The sequence below is a fragment of the Homo sapiens genome, chromosome 12 (genome assembly GCF_000001405.40).
Source record: "Homo sapiens chromosome 12, GRCh38.p14 Primary Assembly".
Taxonomy (NCBI): domain Eukaryota; kingdom Metazoa; phylum Chordata; class Mammalia; order Primates; family Hominidae; genus Homo; species Homo sapiens.
This window is the reverse complement of record NC_000012.12, coordinates 113,803,765-113,823,323: the sequence shown is the minus strand read 5'-3', so window position 1 is coordinate 113,823,323 and position 19,559 is coordinate 113,803,765. Positions and strand designations below refer to the sequence as shown.

The window sequence follows — 19,559 nt, the reverse complement described above, 5'->3', positions numbered from 1 at the left end:
AGAGCCCCCGAAGAAAAAGCGGTCTGTGGTGTTGGACGAGATCCTGGAGCAGCTGGAAGGCAGTGACAGCGACAGCGAGGAGCAGACCCTTCAGCTGTGAGCTGGCACCGAGAGGGTGTGTGGCTCCGGGGCCCTGGGGACCGGGACAGCCGCTCCAGCTTCTGCACTCACCACCATGTGGGCTGGGGGGCGGGGCGGGGAGCGGCAGGCGGCCCCACCCTGCACTGGTCCAAGGTCGGAGGAGACAGGGGATGAGGAAGGCCTCAGGCCACTGCCCAGCGGCCCAGGCATCCTGGGTTTCACCAGTGACGCGTTCTAGCAGACACTGACTGCGCACCTGCTCTGTAGCAGACACGGAAGAGTCCAAGGGAGCAGCCACGTTAGGAAGAGAGACTTGGGAACAGCTACACAGGGAGCTAGAACCCCTGCTCCCCCTGTCCCCACCCCAGGAGAGTAAGGGGACGAGGGCCAGCTCTCTGGCATCAGGCTGCTTGGACATGAAACCCCGTCTCCAAGCTCAAGCTGGGAGACCCTGGCCCAGTTTCCTTATCTCCTTGGGCCCAGCCTTCCCCTTGCTAGCTAGTTCTTACTTCATAAGGTTTTAGAGAGAAATAAACGCAGTAATGCATGAAGAGTGCCGGGCATGGTGCTGAGCCCTGTTCCTGCTCTCCCTCCAGGGCTGCTGAGCTAGAATTCCCACCTATGTCTTTCCAAGGGACTGTTCACGGCTTGGGACTTGGTCTCTGTCCTGCCCCATCCTCGTCACTTGGGACCACGAGCCCTGGTTCAGTCACCCAGGGAAGCCTCCCAGCGGCTCATGAAGCATCGAGCTCCAAGCCCAGATGCCAAGCTCCCTGGCTGAGCTGAATGATGTCACTCATGGTGGACGCGTTCTGCTCACGGGCCCAGAGCCCTGTGAAATGCATCAAGGTCCTCTCCGCTGGCCAGCAGCATCCCCAGGCTTCTCTCAGGCGCCCGTGTTCACATTTTCTCCAGCCTGAGACGCAGCCTCCCGCCTGGAAGGGCCTGTGCCAGCACCAGGCAGAGGGCAAGACGGAGAGGGCAGAGCAAGAACTGCACTGCATCTCACTGCAGTCTGAATCTAGACATCGCCATTCCCCGAGGTGCGACCTCAGACTAATGACATCCTGGCTGAGCCTCTGTTTTTCTCTCTAGGAAATGGGGGTGATAATTGTGCCTACCTCAGATAGACAGTGCCAGAATTAAGTGAGTCAAGCCAAGTAAAGCCCAGAGAAGATTCTCATCAGCACTTTTGTTTTCTTCTTCATTTAGAGTCACTGGGTGGGCCTCCAAGTGAGAGTTTGGGAATCTTCAGACTCTGTGCATAAAACATGGTCTGTGCATTTTGGTGGGGATGAGGTTCCAGTCTTCATCCAGTTTTCGGAGTGGCCCAGAGCCCAGGCAAGGCAACACAGAGCTGGCAGCCTGCACGACCAAGCATGCGCCTCGTGTCCTCTAGGGCAGGCACCCCCTTAGCCATCCAAGCTCATCCCTGAGAATTCGTGGAAACAAAAGACACAGAATGGCTCGTTCCCCAGCCGTTTATTTTTAATTTTTTTAGAGACAGGGTGCAGTGGCATGATCATAGCTCACTGCAGCCTCAAGTGGTCCTCCCACCTTAGCCTCCCAAAGCTCTGGAATTACAGGTGTGAGCCATCACGCCCAGCCACATTCTCCAGCTTTTATAGTGGGGTGGCTCACAGAGTCACATCAACCACAGCCTTCTGGATGTGGGGGCTGAACAGTGTCTCTGTTAAACCACACCCAGGCCGACCCTCAGGTGACCAGGGTCCCAAGTTGCCGTAGGTCATGCGGAATGACAGGGCTGGAGACCTACCCCATGCCTTCCCACTGCTCAGATCTGTGAGCTGGATCGTGTCCTGTTCGGCGGCACATGGCTCCTTCTGGCTGAACCTTCTGGTCTATACAATTTGTACTCACATTTCCACACCACCAGAGCCAGCAGGGATGGCTGGCTGATCACCAAAACTCAGGTGTAGACCCACGGGCCTGGTGCAGAGGCAGGCATCTTTTGGCACTGACTTAACTGGCCCAGAGGATGCTTCTAGAACCTCCCCCCAGAGCAGGATTCAGCATCATCCAGGGCTTGGTGCGGGGTGAGCAGACATGGGCTCTGTATTCGGATCTGCCTGGGCTCCGTAACAGTCCACCACTCTCCAGCCTCGTGAGCCTCGGCAAGTGACTTAACCTGCTGAGTCCTCAGTCTCCTCATCTTTAAAATGGAGTGATGCAAGTAGCATCTCCGTCACAAAAGCGTTATCAGGCCCAGGCAGCTGCAGGCCCCTGCCAGGGCTCACACAGTGAAATGATGGGAATCAGGGCTGTCCAACCCTTCCTGCGTCACTGCCTTCCCTGTGGCCAAAAGAAAGCTGGTGAGCTGGGGAAGGTTCAGGAACTGCAGGAGAGTGAAAGGTAGCAAGAGGAGGGAGAGCTTCCAGCCACTCGCCAGGCCTGGCCTGGAATTGGCAGTGGGGAGTGAGGCAGCCTAGAGGCCATATACTGAGCCTGGCCCCTGCACCCCTGCCCCAGGCACGCACTGTTTGGAAGGGGCAGATCTGTGAGCACACAGGAGTAGTGGAGTCCACTCCCACAGAGATCTCAGGGTGCCCCTTCATGCCGCGCCCACCAGACTGCACCCTCATCTCCTCTCTTCCGGCTCAGCTGTCCTCGTGCAGCCAGTGTGGCCTGACTGATCCGTGAGCTGGATCATGTCAGTCTGCAGCTTCAAACCCTCTAGGGCCTCCCTGACGCATGGAAAGTCGAGTCCCGCTGCTCACCCCAGCACCGAGGCCCCACCTCACCTGACCCTGCACTCGCTGTCCCGGCCTTCCTCCCTGCAGGCTCCCACCCCAGGGCCCTCGAGCTGCCTCTTCCCTCTGCCTGGGATGCCCTTCCCTCACATTCTTCCTGCGTGGCGCCTTTTTATTTTCCTTTGAGATCTTAAATCACGCTTGTCCAACCCAAGCTTGGGCTTTGAATGCAGCCCAACACAAATTTGTAAACTTCCTTAAATTTGCAATTTTTTTTTTTTTTTTTAGTTCATCAGTTATCACTAGTGTTATTGTATTTTATGTGTGGTCCAAGACAGTTCTTCCAGGGTGACCCAGGGAAGCCAAAAGTTTGGATGCCCCGGTTTAACTTCTGCTTCCTCACTGAGGGAGACAGACTCCTGATCAGTTCGTCTGCAGTAACCACACCCAGCTCCTCTTTACACCCAGCCCCAACCCCCTATCCCCCATCCCCTGTCCCTCTCAGTCACAGCACTCAGTACAGGGGACAACCTGGAGTGTGAGCAAGATCTCAGTGACCCAGAGCCTTTTACCCTGTCAAAAATAACTGTTTTAAACGGGAACTAGGAAAGCAATTAAGATTTTTGTTACAATCATCATCATTGTTCTAGAATGCAGTAAAGTACAGCCAGGTAGCCATAAAGCGGAGCTCGGGAAAAGTCATTTGCCTGGCCCAGAGGAGGGGCTTCATCTCTTCTTCCTTTGGAGAAGAGGGACTGGTGAAAGCGTCTTACGAGAAATTCCTCCATCCAGCATGTGGGGGTTGAACTGGGAGACTCTAAGCCTTTGAGCCAAGGCAGCAAGGGACTGAGTCACCGCTGTCACTGGGAGGGGGACACGGGAGCTTTCTGAAAGGCGGCTTCGGTTGTTTTTGAAGCAATGATGGGACGTTGGTAGACACAGACACCCAGAAGATCTGGGAGAGAAACTCCAGAAATAACCCACAGAGGTGGCACTGAGGAGGGAGCACTCCTCCAGGGCGGTGAGCCTCCTGACCCGGCTCAGGACTGACTGCTGCAGGGGGCAGGAAACTGCCTCAGCCACATCTCAGGGGGCTGTGACCCTTCCCTGCCGATATGGTCACCAGAGAGCCGGGAAAGAGAACCATAACAGGCTGGACCAGAGCACTTGCGTAGGAAAGGAGAGGTGACACCAAGAGGCCAGAGGGGCCAAAGGGACACAGGGAGGTGGGAGGTCAGTAGGACACGTGCCTCAGAAAAGCCAGAGGCACACATCTGGATGAGGCCTGTGACCCGGTGTTCAGAGTGTGGCTCAGTTAGCTGGGAGGAACGGGGACAGGCTGTTTCCAGAGTGGAGGGCTGGCTGGAACCGCATCTGCTGTCCTCACGTCCGTCTCCCACCCGCTGTGGGTCTCAGGGGCCTGGCCCCTTGAGCTGTGTCTCTGAAACTCCCTTATCAAGAGGCTTGTGTTCAGTTTGGCCAGCAGTGGGCACTAGCGGGCGCCTGGAAGGCTGGTAGAAGAGAAACTCCAGGCATCCCGCCCTCTCCCTCTGTCCCACGTGGCGTCTCCACCAAGGGTCCACCCCTGGATGGGTGAGGAGGGCCCTGGCATCTCTACTATAGGATACACACAGTCAGACTGCAGGAGGGAGATGGGTGGTCAGACAGGTCCTGGAGAACAGACAGGGGTGAGGGACAGTGGGGCCTGGAGGAGGGACAGGAGTGAGAGACAGTGGGGACGGGAGGAGGAGAGCGGAATGCACAGGCCCTGACTCCAAAGGCCTGCGTTAGAATCTCTAGGCTCTCAGTGTCTCCAGGCCTTGCGTTCCATGTCTTTCAAATGGGTGCAGGAATTCCTGCCTCATTGGATTGGTTAAGACAGAAACAGAAGGTCATGAATGGAAAGTAGTTAGCAGACTGTGTCATGCCTAGTGAGTACTTAGTAATGGTAGTTGCCATCATTATTGTGAACATAACTTCAAAACAAGGCAAGCTTGTGGGGCTGCACCCAGCAGATGTCAGGCCAGCTGGGCCCACGTCCAGAGGCTGGGGCGGGATAGGGACTCACAGGGCGCTGCGCCATGTTGGGGAGGAGCCTATGATCCAGGAAGGAGCCTGTAGGAGGTGCCCCCCTGCCCACTGGCCCCAGTAGGCAAACCAGCACCTGGCTCTTCCTGCACAGAACCAAAGTTCAAGCCCAAATGGGCCAATGGTTGTGGGGAAACAGGTGAGCACCCCCACAGGAGCAGCTGCCTGTCTATTGCTGTGTCTGTGTGTCTGTTCCTAACCCTTTCTTTTTTTTTTTTTTTTTTTTTTTTGAGACAAAGTCTCGCTCTGTTCCCCAGGCTGGAGTGCAGTGGCGTGATCTGGGCTCACCTCCCTGGTTCAAGCGATTGTCCCGCCTCAGCCTCCCAAGGCTGGGATTACAGGTATGCACCACCACGCCCGGCTAATTTTGTATTTTTCATAGAGACTGGGTTTCACCATGTAGACCAGGCTGGTCTCGAATTCCTGACCTCAAGTGATCCACCTACCTCGGCCTCCCAAAGTGTGGGGATTACGGGTGTGAGCCACCACGCCCGGCTAATTTTTTGTATTTTTAGTAGACAGGGTTTCACCATGTGGGCCAGGCTGGTCTTGAACTCCCAACCTCAAGTGATCCACCCACCTTGTTCTCCCAAAGTGCTGAGATTACAGGTGTGAGCCACCATGCCCAGCCTGTTCCTAACCCTTTCAACTGGGGGGTCTCAAGTGGGTGAGGACTCCATGGCCACGGCAGCAGAACTGTCTCTTCTGAAAACCAGACTCCGGGGCCCCTGGGTCAGCACCTCTAGGTCATTCCACAGACTTACACAGTTTAAAGAAAGAGCCAGCGAACATGGGGTGATCCTGGGGTGCCACTGGGATCCCAAGCCAGGCCCGGAGGTCTGCCTGTTTCGTCCCCAGAAACTTGAGCTGGCATCCTCCGCTGGTTTGCACTGGGCACGGGGACTGGAGAGCCACCAGGCCACTGAGCGCAGCATGCTATCACTTCTCAGGAAGTTGTGAGGGTGAGGAGAATAGCCGGGCCCACTCTGCAGAGGGGAGGAACAGGCACAGGCTAGAGGCACGGGCTGATAGAGTGAGTCCTCTCCCTCATTCATTCATTCATTCATTCATTCATCCATCAGACACCTGCTGGGCATCTGCTGTGTGCGAGACACTGTGCTGGGTGCCCCAGACACAAGACAGAAACTCGGGTCGCTCTGTGTGCCTCCACACTGGCCTTCCCTGCTGCGTGGACGCAGGCTCTGTCTCCTAGGCTTTAAGCCCCATGCATCAGGTGGAAGACAATTTCCAGCAGCCTCTGCCCGCTTGTTTTTCCTCCTCTCCTTTTCCTGCCGCCTTGGTCTTTTTTGTCTTTTGTGCAGGGCCGTCTCTCGCAGCGCCCGTCTGTGCTCCGCAGCGTCTAGGAAAGGATTAGTGTGAGCAGAGCACGCAGGCTTTGGTGAACAGAGCCGAGCTTGGTTTCAACATCTAATTCAATTTGTTCTGCCGAGATTGAAATATGAAATGGTTGCCAGTCAAACGTTCAAAGGACGGGGAAGGGAGAGTGAGCGCATGCTGAAATTTAAATTTTAATGAAAATGACTTTAACCCTTTGGTACACCTTGCAAAATGTAACCCATCCTCCCATCCTGTGAAAGCGGCCTCTCGGGTTAGAGCTTTTCCACCCACTTCTCTTCCACTGAGCTTCACTAATAATATGTAATCATTTTTTTCAGCCGTCTTAATAATAAAAGATTAATAGAATGCTTGCATAATAATAATTTATTCACCCATGCCGCCTAGGCCATTGAAATAGTCACCTTGCCTAGATGACTTTCCCAAGCCCCATCCTAGACAAGCCCCGGCCCCTCGTTAGATTCACTCGTCACACCGAACACCTCCCTAGCTCCTTACAGCTGTGAACAGTTTCTGTGTTTTTATTTCATGTCTGACCTCTCTCTCTGGACCGGAAGTCCCAGGAGAGCAAGGTCTGTGCCCATTTTGTGCGTGCTGCATCGTGGAGTAGATGCTTAGTAAATACTCGAGGAAGGAATCAGTGGCCCCACTTTGTCCTTTTAGCAACTGTGAGAGGTAAGTTGATGGGAGATGTAGAAATGGAGAGGTGGGTGACATTCCCAAGATGGCGCTGCACAGAGGGCTGCCACCAGGCTCACACTCAGCTCGCTCTGGCACAAGCCCAAGCCCCTACCTCCCCAGAGCAGTGAGGGCAGTTCCCACATGCAGGGGGCCCGGCCCTATGCTGGGTTTCAGAGGCACACCCTGTGCTCTCGCTCCTGCTGCAGGGCCTGAACTGCTGTCTCCTCTTTACAGCGAGGGCAGGCCCAATGTGTGCCAGCTCGAGCCTTATCCTCAAGGCAGCAAGAGCAGGCCCAATGTGTGCCGACTCGAGCCCTGTCCTCAAGGCGGTGTGGGTGAAGGGCTCTCTCTCCTCACCCCCAGTGAGATTCTCCTATTCAGCTCCTGCTTGCCATGGAACCCCTAGTGTGTTTTTTGTTTTGTTTTTAAATATCAAATGCCATCAGTGCCGGACCAGTGGGCATGCGTGGCAGCTCATTATGGCTGTGGACAGACAGTGCCAGGCATTGACCAGGCATCATAGGTTTTCAGGGTAGAGTGGGATGATGGGGGCAGCCCTGAGACCACCTTCAGGACAGTTGGCTTCCAAGGACTGAGTCCTTGGCTTCATCCTCCAGGGCTCATACAGACCAGGAGCGCAAGGGAGAGGTTCAAACCTGAAACACCCAGCAAATGTGTGTTGAGCTTATGTGCACCAGGCATGGCCATGATGCTGGGAATGCAGGAGTTGACACAGCAGATAAGACTCCCTGGCCTCGAGGAGCTGGTAGTCAAATGTGGGGAGACCCAGACATGAGTGGGTGGAGGATTGCTTCCCTGGCACTGCTGAGGCTCCATTCTCTCTGGGGATGTCTGGCAGGGTCAAGGAAGGGCTCCCTGAGGAGGTGGCATGTGAGCAGAGCTGGGAGGAAGGGGACAGCTCTGTGTGCTCAAGGGAGAGTGAGGGGGACAGCCCGGGCCCCAGAAAAAGCCAGGGAGAGTGGGCAGGGGCCTGCCAACCCGGCTCAGGCTTGGGTGTCAAGTCTGGGCCTGTGGAGGGGAGCAGAGCCGGCCCAGTCTGCCACCATGTTAAGGATCAATAGCAGAAGGTCAAGGACTGAAGCAGGGACAGGTGTTCAGAAGCCATTGCAGTGGCCAGGAGAGCAGGGAGGTGGTGACTCAGAGCAGGGAGGTGGCAGTGGAGGGGTGAGGTGGCCCAAGCCTGTAGACAGACTGAAAATGCAGCCAGTGGCCTAAAGGTTTGGCTGTGGGGTGTGCACAACCAAGGCTAGCGCCCTGGCTCCAGCCCAAGCAGTGGGAAGAAGGAAGCTAGTGTGCGCTGAGACCATTGCAGGAAGAGCTGGCTTGGAGGGAAGCAGGAACTGGCTTTAAACTCGGTAAGCTGTTGACTGCTAAGAGGTGGAGAACACACCGGAGGATACGTGTCTCAGGTTGAGGAGAGAGGGTTGGACCGAGGTATAACAGGAAATTATCCTTCTTTGGTTAAGAAATCTAAAAGGGGCCAGCCTCGGTGCTTCACTCCTGTAATCCCGGCACTTTGGGAGGCTGAGGTGGGAGGATCGCTTTGAGGCCAGGAGTTCGAGACCAGCCTGGGCAACATAGGGAGACCCCATCTCTACAAATAATTTTTAACATTAGCCGGCTGTGGTAGTGTGGGCCTGTGGTCCCAGCTACTCAGGAGGCTGAGGTGGGAGGATCACTTGAGCCCAGGAGGTCGAGGCTGCAGTGAGCCATGATCACACCATCGCACTCCAGCCTGGGCAATGGAGTGAGATGCTGTCTCCCAAAAAAAAAGGGAAAAAAAAAGAAATCTAAGAGTCAGCATGGGAACTAACAGCCCCGTGTAGACAGACCTGGGAAATCTCATAGCTTCAATGCTTCAAGTTAATTTTTTTATTTTATTTTTTTTTTTTTTGAGATGGAGTCTCACTCTGTCGCCCAGCCTGGAGTGCAGTGGCGCGATCTTGGCTCACTGCAGCCCCTGCCTCTCTGGGTTCAAGCAGTCCTCCCACTTCATCCTCCCAAGTAGCTGAGATTACAGGCATGCACCACTATGCCTGGCTAAGTTTTGTATCTTTAGTAGAGGTGAGGTTTTGCCATGTTGGCCAGACTGGTCATGAACTCCTGACCTCAGATAATCCTCCTGCCTCGTCCTCCCAAAGTGCTGGGATTACAGGCATGAGCCACTGCACAGGCCTCAAGTTCATTTTGAAGCCACTTCTAGATGGTTCCAAACTCCTTTGGCCCCAGAACCCGTTTCCCAAACAAATGTCTTAAACAGATTAAGCAAAACTGCTTTGTTCCAAGTCAGGGTACAGGCCTGACCTCCCCCACCCAGACTCCTCTTCCCCCTCAACACCTCAGTGATTTGAAAAACACTGACCTAGGCCTGGCGCGGTGGCTTACGCCTGTAATCCCAGCACTTTGGGAGGCCAAGGTGGGTCATCGCAAAGTCAGGAGATGGAGACCATCCTGGCTAACATGGTGAAACCCCATCTCTACTAAAAATATAAAAAATTAGCCGGGCATGGTGGCACGTGCCTGTAGTCCCAGCTACTCGGGAGGCTGAGGCAGGAGAATCACTTGAACCCGGGAGGTAGAGGTTGCAGTGAGCCGAGATCGTGCCACTGCTCTCCAGCCTGGACAACAGAGTGAGACTCCATCTCGAAAAAAAATATATTGAACTAAAAAATGTCTCCCAAAGCACAGAGCACGGACCTCTGTGCTTCAGGAGATGGTTTAGGTGGCCCACACACTTTTCTTTTTAATTTTTAACTCACAAGTTTATTTTCACATGTATGCCACAAATACAAACCTGTATTTGTTTAGGTCATCAAACCTATGGTGTTGCTAAGCTCTAAGGAATACCGGTGAATTCGTATAAAGAAAAGTATTAAAAACATGAATTTCGTGAGGCAAAGTAGTAAAGAAGCGACGTGAATGATCAAAATCAGGGGTTGGCAAACCATGGCCCTCTTTTTTTTTTTTTTTTTTTGTGCTGCTGTTGCCTGGTTTTGTGAATAAAGTTTTATTGGAATACAGCCATGCCCATTAGTTTACATATTGTCAATAGTTGCTGCATGTAACAGAGTTGAGTAGCAACAGAGACCTTATGACCTGCAAAGCCTAAAATATTTACCATCTGGCCCTTTGCATCAAGTGCAGTGACCCCGATCTAAAGCAAACCCCCATCATTTTACAGATTAGAAAGCCCAGAGTGTCTTCTACAAGGTCACACTGTGGCAGAATTCCCCGTTCCGGCTCTTTCACCTCTGCTATGCTGCCTCGGCACATGTGCTGAGTAAAACTTTATTGACAAGACCAGGCAACAGTAGCAGGAAAAAGAAAAACGAGCTGTGGTTTGGCGACCCCTGATTTCAATCATTCATACCCCTTCTTTACTACTTTGCCACTTAGCCACAATGTGACCTTGAGCAACCTCCTTGACCTCTCTGTGCCTGTGTTCTCACCTGTGAACCGAGAACAGGACAGACTCCTGCAGATGCCAGGATGAAGTGAAGGCTGAGAATGGCGCCGGCCCCACATGAGCACTACACAAGCCTCAGCTGTTGTTACCCCATCCCCCCAACATAAAGGCAGTGTCCTTCTGCACCCCGACAGGCTTGGGCCATCACCCGCTGCCCAGGAGGCCAGGGTATTTCAGCACAAGCCCCGGGCCAAGGCCTTCTGGATCGTCAGCAAAGTAAAAGGGGCCCTGCAATCTAATTATAGCATTGCTAGAAGCCAGGGCCGCATTCCCCTCCAGCTTCCTTAATAAGCCCCACTTCCCCATAATTGCAGATTTCATGGAAGCGGTCCACTGGGGCCACCATGTCCCATCCTTGGGCTTAGGCCAATAGCAGACATTTTGTTGTGCAGATTTCTGGATAGCAGCTGCTCCTGCCTTTCCTGGAAACTGTCAGGAGCCCTCCCTTCTCCTGGTCCCCAAAAAGATTCCAGGCGATAACATCGCTGCCACCTTGTACACCTGCAGTTTACAAAGCACTTTCGCAGGTGGGAGCTGAGTCACTAGGCAGGGGCTGTCACTGCCATGGCACAGATGAGGAAACTGAGGCTCCAGGAAAGGAGGGGAGCAGCCCGTGGCCGATGTTCCAGAAAGAAGGCAGTCCCTTTTCCCAGGCTGTGGCTCCACAGTCAAAGACCCTCCTCTCCTTCCCCTCTGGCTTTGTGGAAGAGGACAGGAAGCTGGATATGTGGCAGTCCGTGCAAGGGATAGCAGGAAACACTGCGTCCCATGAACGATTCTCAGACTGCATTCCCCAGAGATGCTGAGATGTGGGGCTGAGGAGTCCGGCACCCTTAACCCCTCCACCTCCCAGGATTTTATATTCCTAGGCTCAATTGCCCAACCCTCATAGTGTAAGCATCTCACTGCAGTCTTTGTGAGCTGCGAGGTATTTTGTGAACCCTGAACACAAGTCAACAACTTCACCCAATGCTCAACCAAAGAACAGCAGCTGCCCCAGTGCTGGGGGACAGCCTGCTGTGTTCGCCTCCCAGAGCAACAGTGTATATAGGTCAGGGAATGTGTTGGTTCCTGTGACAGACCCAGACATTAGTGGGCTTAAATGAGATGGAGGTGGATTTCTGTCACATGACAGTTGGAAGGTGAACAGGCCTGGTCTGACAGCAGCAGGGGCCCAGCCCCTCTGAACTGTCACTCTGACACGCCTCCATGGCCCAGACAGCACCCCGCTGTGCTGCCATCACCCAGTCACTGGGAGTGGGGAGGAAAAAGAGGGCTTGCCCTGCCCTTCAAGGACACAGCCTGTGCATTCTCATGTCACTTTGACCAGAATATGGTCACCTGGTTGAGCCTAGCTGCAAGAGATGCTGGGAAATGGTCTTTCTCTTGGGCAGCCATATGCTCCCCAAAACATACAGCCCCTCCTTCTACAGGAAGCGGGAAAACAAATGCTGGGGGCAGCCAGCAGCCTCAGCCACTGATCGTTGGGTGCTGCCTGGGGTCTTCCCAGGGCATTTTCAAGGTCAATTTGACTGTCCTTGATTTCCACCTTTTGAGCTGACGTTAGAACCTAACCCCACATAAGCATTGTTTAAAGACTCATGTATCACAGCCGTAAAAAAGAATGAGTTCATGTCCTTTGCAGGGACATGGATGAAGCTGGAAACCAGCATTCTCAGCCAAATAACACAGGAACAGAAAACCAAACACCACATGTTCTCACTCATAAGTGGGAGTTGACCAATGAGGACACATGGACACAGGGAAGGGAACATCACACACCGGGACCTGTTGGGGGTGGAGGGCTAAGGGAGGGATAGCATTAGGAGAAATACCTAATGTAGATGGTGGGTTGATGGGTGCAGCAAACCACCATGGCACATGTATGCCTATGTGACAAACCTGCACTTTCTGCATATGTATCCCAGAACTTAAAGTATTTTAAAGAAAAAAGAAAAAGACTCATGAATCTAATGTGTTCATCAGATTTTTGGGGTTTTTTTTTTTCTTTTTTCTTTTTTTTTTTTTTTTGAGACAGGGTCTTGCTGTGTCACCCAGGCCGGAGTGCAGTAGTGTGATCATGGCTTACTGCAGCCTCAACCTCCCAGGCTCAAGTCATCCTCTTGCCTCAGCCTTCTGAGTAGCTGGGACTACAGGCATGCACCACCATGCTCGGCTAATTTTTTAATTTTTTTTAGGGAAGGGGTCTCCCTATGTTGCCCAGGCTGGCCTCAAACTCCTGGGCTCAAGCAGTCCTCCTGCCGTGGCTTCCCAAAGTTCTGGCATTACAGGTGTGAGCCACTATGCCTGGCCTCATCACATTCTTAAACCAAGAAAAGTTAACCCACTTTTCTTAACCCACTGTGTTAGACACTAGTGCTGGTTGTCAGTGAAAAACTCCAAAGTAACATGTGGATCTTGTTGCTTACACATTAAGACAAAATGCCAATTTTGGGGGCTGGGGGAATAAGGCATCAAGTTTGCCCCATGTGTAGATTCACTCGTGTCTGACCAAGTGCACCCTCGGAGTGTTACCTACACAGAGGCTGGCTTTTCCCTAACGTCCTTCTTTTCCGCAGATCTTCAGAAAGGCTTTCTCTGATAGGGCAGTATGTTAATTCCTGTGATTGCTGTAACAAAATACCTCAAACTGGGGGGCTTAAAGCAACAGAAAGTTGTGCTCTCACAGTTCCGGAGTCCACAGGTCTGAAATCCAGGTGTGGGCAGGGCCGTGCTCCCTCCGAAGGCTCTAGGGGAGGATCCTTGCTCAACTTATTTTTGAGACAGTCTTGCTCCCTCACCCACGCTGGAGTGCAATGGCACGATCTCGGCTCGCTGAAACCTCTGCCTCCCGAGTAGCTGAGATTACAGGTGCCCGCCACCACGCCCAACTAATTTTTGTATTTTTAGTAGAGACAAGGTTTCACCATTGGCCAGGCTGATCTTGAACTCCTGGCCTCAGGTGATCCACCCGCCTCAGCTTCCCAAAGTGTTGGGATTACAGGCCTGAGCCACCACGCCCAGCCTGCCTTTCTTTTCTGAGGACAGTTGGCACCTATAATCTCATCTCAAGATCGTTAGTTATATGTACAAAGACCCTTTTTTCCCAAATAAGGTCATATTTACAGGTTCCAGGTGGACGTATATTTTGGGGGAGGTCACCATTCAACCCTCTGCAGACCATCTGAGTCCCCTTTCCTTGCTCTACAAGCATTTAATGAGCACCTCCTATTGGCCAGCCCTGAACTGGCGGCCAGGGATCCAGCAATCAACACAACAGGATCAGCCAGGCCCGGTGACTCATGCCTATAATCCCAGCACTTTGAGAGGCTGAGGCGGGCAGATCACTTGAGGTCAGGAGTTTGAGACCAGCTTGGCCAACATGGTGAAACCCCATCTCTACTAAAATACATAACTTAGCTGGGTGCTGTGGCTCACGCCTGTAATCCCAGCAGTTTGGGAGGTTGAGGCGGGTGGATCACTTGAGGTCAGGAGTTCAAGACCAGTCTAGCCAACATGGCAAAACCCCGTCTCTACTAAAAATACAAAAAATGAGCTGGGCATTTTTTGTATGAGGCGGGCGCCTGTAGTCCCAGCTACTCAGGAGGCACGAGAATCACTTGAGCCCGGGAGGTGGAGGTTGCAATGAGCTGAGATGGCACCACTGCACTCCAGCCTGGGCGACAGAGCGAGACTCTGCCTCAAAAACAAACAAACATACAACACAGTAGGCTCACTGCTGCTGTGAAAGTTCACAGTCTGTTGGGAGATGGCTAAGTAACAGGTGGTCATGGTGCCAAAGGAGAAGTGGGGCAGGTGTCCAAAGGAAGGGTGGGGAGGGCTTCCCAAAAGACGTGGCTTCTAAACTGTGTCCCAGGAGGTGAGTAGGGGTTACCCTGAGAGGTGGACTTACCCTGAGGGCAGCAGAGAGCCCCTGAAGGTCCAAGAGCAGGAGAGCAGCCATGCCCAGCTGCCTGTGAAGCTGCCACCTCCTCTCCCTCCACACCCTGACACTCAGGGACACGCCCCCGCAGCCCACACTCCCAGGAAAAGCATTCCTCTAGCGGACCTTCTGGTTACTTTTATAGATAACCTTGTGGCCGGCCCTCCACCACCTCTGCAGAAACAACACCCTCACCCCACGAAGCCCGACCTGTTCTCTCCCTGGCTGACTTTGAAGCCGTGGTTGTAGCAGAGTGGGTAGGTTCTGATGATGGGTAGAGAAGGCAGAGGCCAGAGCGAGGCAGCCAAGGCCAGGAACGCCAGGAGCCACCAGAAGCTGGAAGGGCCGAGGAAGTATCCTCTAGAGCCTCCAGGGGAGCATAGCCGTGCTCACACCTGGATTTCAGACTTGTGGACTCTGGAACTATGAAAGCATAACTTCAAAGCATGTTCCTGAGAGTGGGGCAGGTACCACTCCAGGGGGCCTGGAGTGAGTTGCAGGGAATGGGAATAGGTAGAGAAGGCATCTCGGGGACAGGGTTCAGCTGAGGGCAAGGCTACCTTCAGGCGGGACCATGACTTGCAGCCGCACAGCACAGGACACATAGTCTGAGCTAAAGAATATTTGCTTAATGAGTGAGCTTACATCATATGTATATAAAATCTAGAAACATGTCTGGTTTGCTGAAGACTGACTACGTGGGTGGGTGCTGAGCCCCATTTCAACTGTAAATGCTAACTCATTGCAAGAGACAGAAGGTCATTGTCTTTTAAGCAGAGGCCTGAAAGCCAGTTCCGGCATCGGAACCTAACGAACAAACACGGGAATCCAAGGCCATCATAGCAGCAGTGGTCACAATTACTGAGCCTTACTCTGGGCCAGGCACTATAAGCCAGGGAGTTCTCACGACAGCCAGAATTGATGGGGTTGTTGTCCCCATTTGACAAGTGAAACCGGTGCAGAGAGATGGCATGCCTTGCCCAAATTCACAAGGCTATTAGTGGGAGGAGTCAAGAGACTTTAAGGGCCCTTTCTCTGTCTACGAAAGCAATAAACAATCAAAGATAAAGCATAATGTTATTCAAAGAACAGTCAGTGACTTTCTTTGGTTCATAGGAACCTGGCTATGGTTGGGATGGAAGGGGGTAAAATCCCAATTACCAGGCCCTCCTTGTACCAAATGAATTAATACTAATGAGGTGGAGTCTTAAGACTCTGTATTGAACCAGGCACCTTCTCCCCTACCCCCATGATATGGTTTGGATTTGTGTCCCCCAAGTCTCATGTCAAATAATAATCCCCAGTGTGGGGCCTGGTAGGAGGTGATTGAATCATGGGAGCGGTTTCTCATGAATGCTTTAACACCGTCTCCCTGGGTGCCGTTCTCATGATACTGAGTGAGTTCTCATGAGATCTGGTTGTTTAAAAGTGCGTGGTGGCTCTTGCCTGTAATCCCAGCACTTTTGGAGGCCGAGGTGGGCAGATCACGAGGTCAAGAGATCAAGACCATCCTGGCCAACAAGGTGAAACCCCGTCTCTACTAAAAATACAAAAATTAACTGGGCGTGGTGGCTCATGCCTGTAGTCCCAGCTTCTCGGGAGGCTGAGGCAGGAGAATTGCTTGAACCCGGGAGGAGGAGGTTGCAGTGAGCCAAGATCACACCACTGCCCTCTGACCTGGGCGACCGAGTGAGACTCCATCTCAGAAAAAAAAAAAAAGAAAGAGAAAAAAGCATGTAACACCTTCCCCCTCTCTCTCTTCCTCCTGCTCTGGCCACGTAAGATGTGCCTGCCTCCCCTTCACCTTCTGCCATGATTGTAAGTTTCTTGAGGCCTCCCCAGGAGCAGAAGCTGCTATGCTTCCTGTATAGCCCATGGAACCATGAACCAATTAAAACCTCTTTTCTTTATGAATTACCCAGTCTCAGGTATTTCTTTATATCAGTGTGAGAATGCAAATATAACCCACCCCTGCCATTTGTCTGTATCCCAGTTTGGGATCCACCATTGTGAAGTGTACATGTATATTTTCTGCCTTCAGGAATCAGATTCTTTGCTGTAAACATAGAATGTAATGTACCTCCTTTCAAACAATCATGGGAACATGTATAAAAGAGCACCATCTATAAGGCTACCAAAGAAAACCTCAATACATTCCAGAAAGAGGAAATAATATTGATTACATCCTTTGACTACATGCAATAAAAGTAGAAATTTGTATCAAAACAGGGGAAAGAAAAGCTCTTATAAATTAAAACTCTCAAAGAACTTGAGTCAAAAAATACACTGAAATTGCATAATATCTACTAAAAACAGCAGTAATAGAAACATTCATGGTTCTGATGACAGCTAAAGCTATGCCTAGAGGAAAAGTCGTAGACTTAAATACCTGTTACATACACAAGCTCTGCCAGTTCCATCTTGTATTAGTTATCTGTTGCTGCTTAATGAACAATCACAAGACTCAGTGGCTTAAAACATTACATGCTTATTTAGCTCAGGAGTCTGTAGGTGAGGTGGGCAGTCTTTGTCCAGGTTGCTCATTCACGCCTCTGCCCTCAGCTGCAGGTTAATGAGGTGGCTTTGCAGATCTTGGCTGGACTCTTCTGTATCTCAGAGCTGTCTCCTTGTCTGGCCTGGCTTCAGGCTGAACTGACTCAGTGCTCTCTCATCCTCCAAATGGCCAGGCTAGGCATCTTTTCATGGGTGAGGCAGAGGAGCCAGAGAGGAAGAGTTTATTCAAAGCCTCTTGTGCCAAGTTTGCTACTTGCCCCATTGGTCAAAGCAAGTCTCATGGTGGAGCTTCAAGTCAGCAAGGGAGGGGTCTATCAGAAGGCATGGTTTTGGGCTGGAAAGGGACAAAAAACTGGGACCATGAATACAGTCTCTCTCGCACATACCTCTTAAATATATCTTGTATCCATCATTTTCCTTGGGCACCATCTTTGTGCCAGCCCCCATGTGCTGCCTAGATTAGTGGGACAGCCTCCCTCTCCCCTTTCCCTCACCCCACTTCCCTAGTTACCACCTGCTCATCCTTGAGGTCTAGACATCACTCCCTCTGAGCAGTCCACTGACCACCCAAGACAGGTGCTCTCCCTCTGGTCCTCTGTAGGGCTTGTCACTGCCGTAGGGTACTTCCCTCACTGCACTGTAGAGTCTGTGTGCTCTGTCACCCTGCTGCCAGCAATTTGAAGACAGAAACCATGCCTTATTCACAGTAGCGTCCACAAGCGAGAGGCACCCACTAAGTGTTTGCTAGCGTGCAGGTAGTCCCTAGACTGTCCCCTTGAGAAACGGAGCATTCAGAGACTTGTCATTGCCAAAACCAGGAAAGTTCTGGCCAGCAGGTGAGCTCAGCCTCACCCATGGTTGTCTTCCGACTTCAGGGGTATTTGTGCTGCCAAGGGACCCAGATGGCGCTCCCCACGCCCCGGGTGTGAGTGGGCCAGTGAATTAATTCCCTCCTGCCAAAAGGGTCTGTGCTCTTTGTCTTTCTCCCTCACTGTGGTCCAACCAGCTTGATCATCACAGCCAGGTGGATCCCAGGACCACCCAGAGGTCACTGACAGGTTCCCTCGGACCAGGCAGCCTCCAGTCCCAATCATCTTTAAGGAAGGGAAGCCAGCCCAGCCAGCTCAAGGCCAATCCCTCCTTCCCTGCCAGGGCAGATGGCAAACCGGGCCCCCCTCCTTCCCCCCACCCACCTCCTCCGTAGCAGACCCTGCACGTGCCCACACGTTCATTCGCTCTGCCGGCCTGCTCAGATTGGCCGCCGTGTGGATTGGAAATGGTGCCCATCCCCGGTTTAAAATGTGCCCCCAGGGCTCTTCAACAGCCGGATCTAGTTCATTCTGGTTCCCAAGACTCAGTCATTTCAAACCCCATTTTCCCTGGGAAACCTTTGAATTTAGAAATCTGAGTTTTGGATTTAGCCTCATTTCTCTGCATTCTGCTTCCTCTCCAATTCCCTAGGCCTCCCTGCCCTCGCTGTGGAGCCCTGAATCAGGGGCAAGCTGCCCCACCCTGCCTTGCCACCCAGCTGGGGCGGCCTCATTTCTGGGGGGAGATGAAAAACCAACTCGTCCTTGTTCCTGCCCAGAGAAGCCCAGATTTTTAACTTCCTGGTGTCTTAAAAGCAGTCCCCATTCTTCAGTCTCTCTTCTCTCTGGTTAGGTAGGTGATCTACTTAGAAGAATAGTGTATTCATAACTCTCCCCTCGCCCACCCAACCAACTCAGTAAAGCAGTTTTCAAAACGAGGCGGGATGGTGGCTGGGAAGGGGTGCAGTCAACGTTTGTATTTTCTGAGTTGATTGCTGTTTTTACTTTGATTGCATCTTGCCTGAGAGTCCTGGCTTCTGGAGCAGAAGCCGTTGGCCCCTCAAGATGAGATTCCAGTGCTTCCAAGAAACCCAGGCCCTGGCCAGGCATGGTGGCTCACGCCTGTAACCCTAGCACTTTGAGAGGCTGAGGCGGGTGGATCACCTGAGGTCGGGAGTTCAAGACCAGCCTGGTTAACATGGTGAAACCCTGTCTCTACTAAAAATACAAAAATTAGCCGGCCATGGTGGTGGGTGCCTATAGTCTCAGCTACTTGGGAGGCTGAGGCAGGAGAATCACTTGAATCCAGGAGGCAGAGGTTGCAGTGACTGAGATCGTACCACTGCACTCCAGCCTGGGCAACACAGTGAGACTCTTGTCTCAAAAAAAAAAAAGGAAAAGAAAAAAGAAAAACCCAGTCCCTTAGGAGTGACAGGTCAAACTTCTCCCTTTAATCTGGAAGCACAGGCTAGAAAATCACCCCAGCCAGGATTCTCCTTCCCAATTCCCACATCTCTGCATCTGCTTCCTCATCAGAAAACAGGGATAACGTGTCCATTCCTTCACAGAGGTGTTAGGAAGACCCAAGAGATGAGTGTTGAGCCACCGCAGAGTGCCTTGTTTGCAGGAAACACATAAACCATTCATTCCACCAAGTTTTGCTTAATGCTGCCCAGTGCCAGGCACTGGTTGGTAAGCCAAGGATCCACATCCAGGTCCCCATGGGAGTCATCCCCACACATCCAGACTTAAAATGACAGCCAGTGGCGCCTGTGTAATGTGTGTGCAGGGACAGTGCAGGGTGCCATGAGAGAAGGATGCTGGGGGGCCTCCTTCAGAGGGACAATGAGCAGGTTTCTCTAAGAAGTGATTTTCCAGTCAAGGGAGAG

At 52.3% G+C, this 19,559-nt stretch overlaps 1 protein-coding gene across 7 annotated transcripts in view, besides 3 other annotated features; it reads left to right on the top strand.

Moving 5' to 3' along the window:
- RBM19 (RNA binding motif protein 19) overlaps positions 1 to 6,584 on the top strand; it is a 149,586-nt gene extending 143,002 nt beyond the window's left edge. For 2 of the 7 annotated variants that reach the window (XR_001748932.2, XR_944848.3), the window contains 3 exons: positions 3 to 115; positions 5,138 to 5,221; positions 5,963 to 6,584. Coding sequence is in view for 5 of the 7 variants with exons in the window: in NM_001146699.2 (NP_001140171.1) it covers positions 3 to 100 (98 nt within the window). In the remaining 2 variants the exon portion in view is untranslated. Of the gene's footprint in view, positions 1 to 2; positions 1,268 to 5,137 lie in introns of those variants that run through there. The other 5 variants (XM_017020281.2, NM_001146698.2, XM_047429936.1 and 2 more) reach the window with 3 other exon arrangements.
- Positions 3,523 to 4,448: an enhancer, noted in NCBI's record as "H3K4me1 hESC enhancer chr12:114256681-114257606 (GRCh37/hg19 assembly coordinates)". NCBI's record gives its function as "activates a minimal SCP1, AML or CMV promoter by ChIP-STARR-seq in naive H9 embryonic stem cells {active_cell/tissue: H9 hESC(naive)}" and the evidence as "EXISTENCE:reporter gene assay evidence [ECO:0000049][PMID:30033119]".
- Positions 4,449 to 5,376: an enhancer, noted in NCBI's record as "H3K4me1 hESC enhancer chr12:114255753-114256680 (GRCh37/hg19 assembly coordinates)". NCBI's record gives its function as "activates a minimal SCP1, AML or CMV promoter by ChIP-STARR-seq in naive H9 embryonic stem cells {active_cell/tissue: H9 hESC(naive)}" and the evidence as "EXISTENCE:reporter gene assay evidence [ECO:0000049][PMID:30033119]".
- Positions 17,464 to 17,964: an enhancer, noted in NCBI's record as "H3K4me1 hESC enhancer chr12:114243165-114243665 (GRCh37/hg19 assembly coordinates)". NCBI's record gives its function as "activates a minimal SCP1, AML or CMV promoter by ChIP-STARR-seq in primed H9 embryonic stem cells {active_cell/tissue: H9 hESC(primed)}" and the evidence as "EXISTENCE:reporter gene assay evidence [ECO:0000049][PMID:30033119]".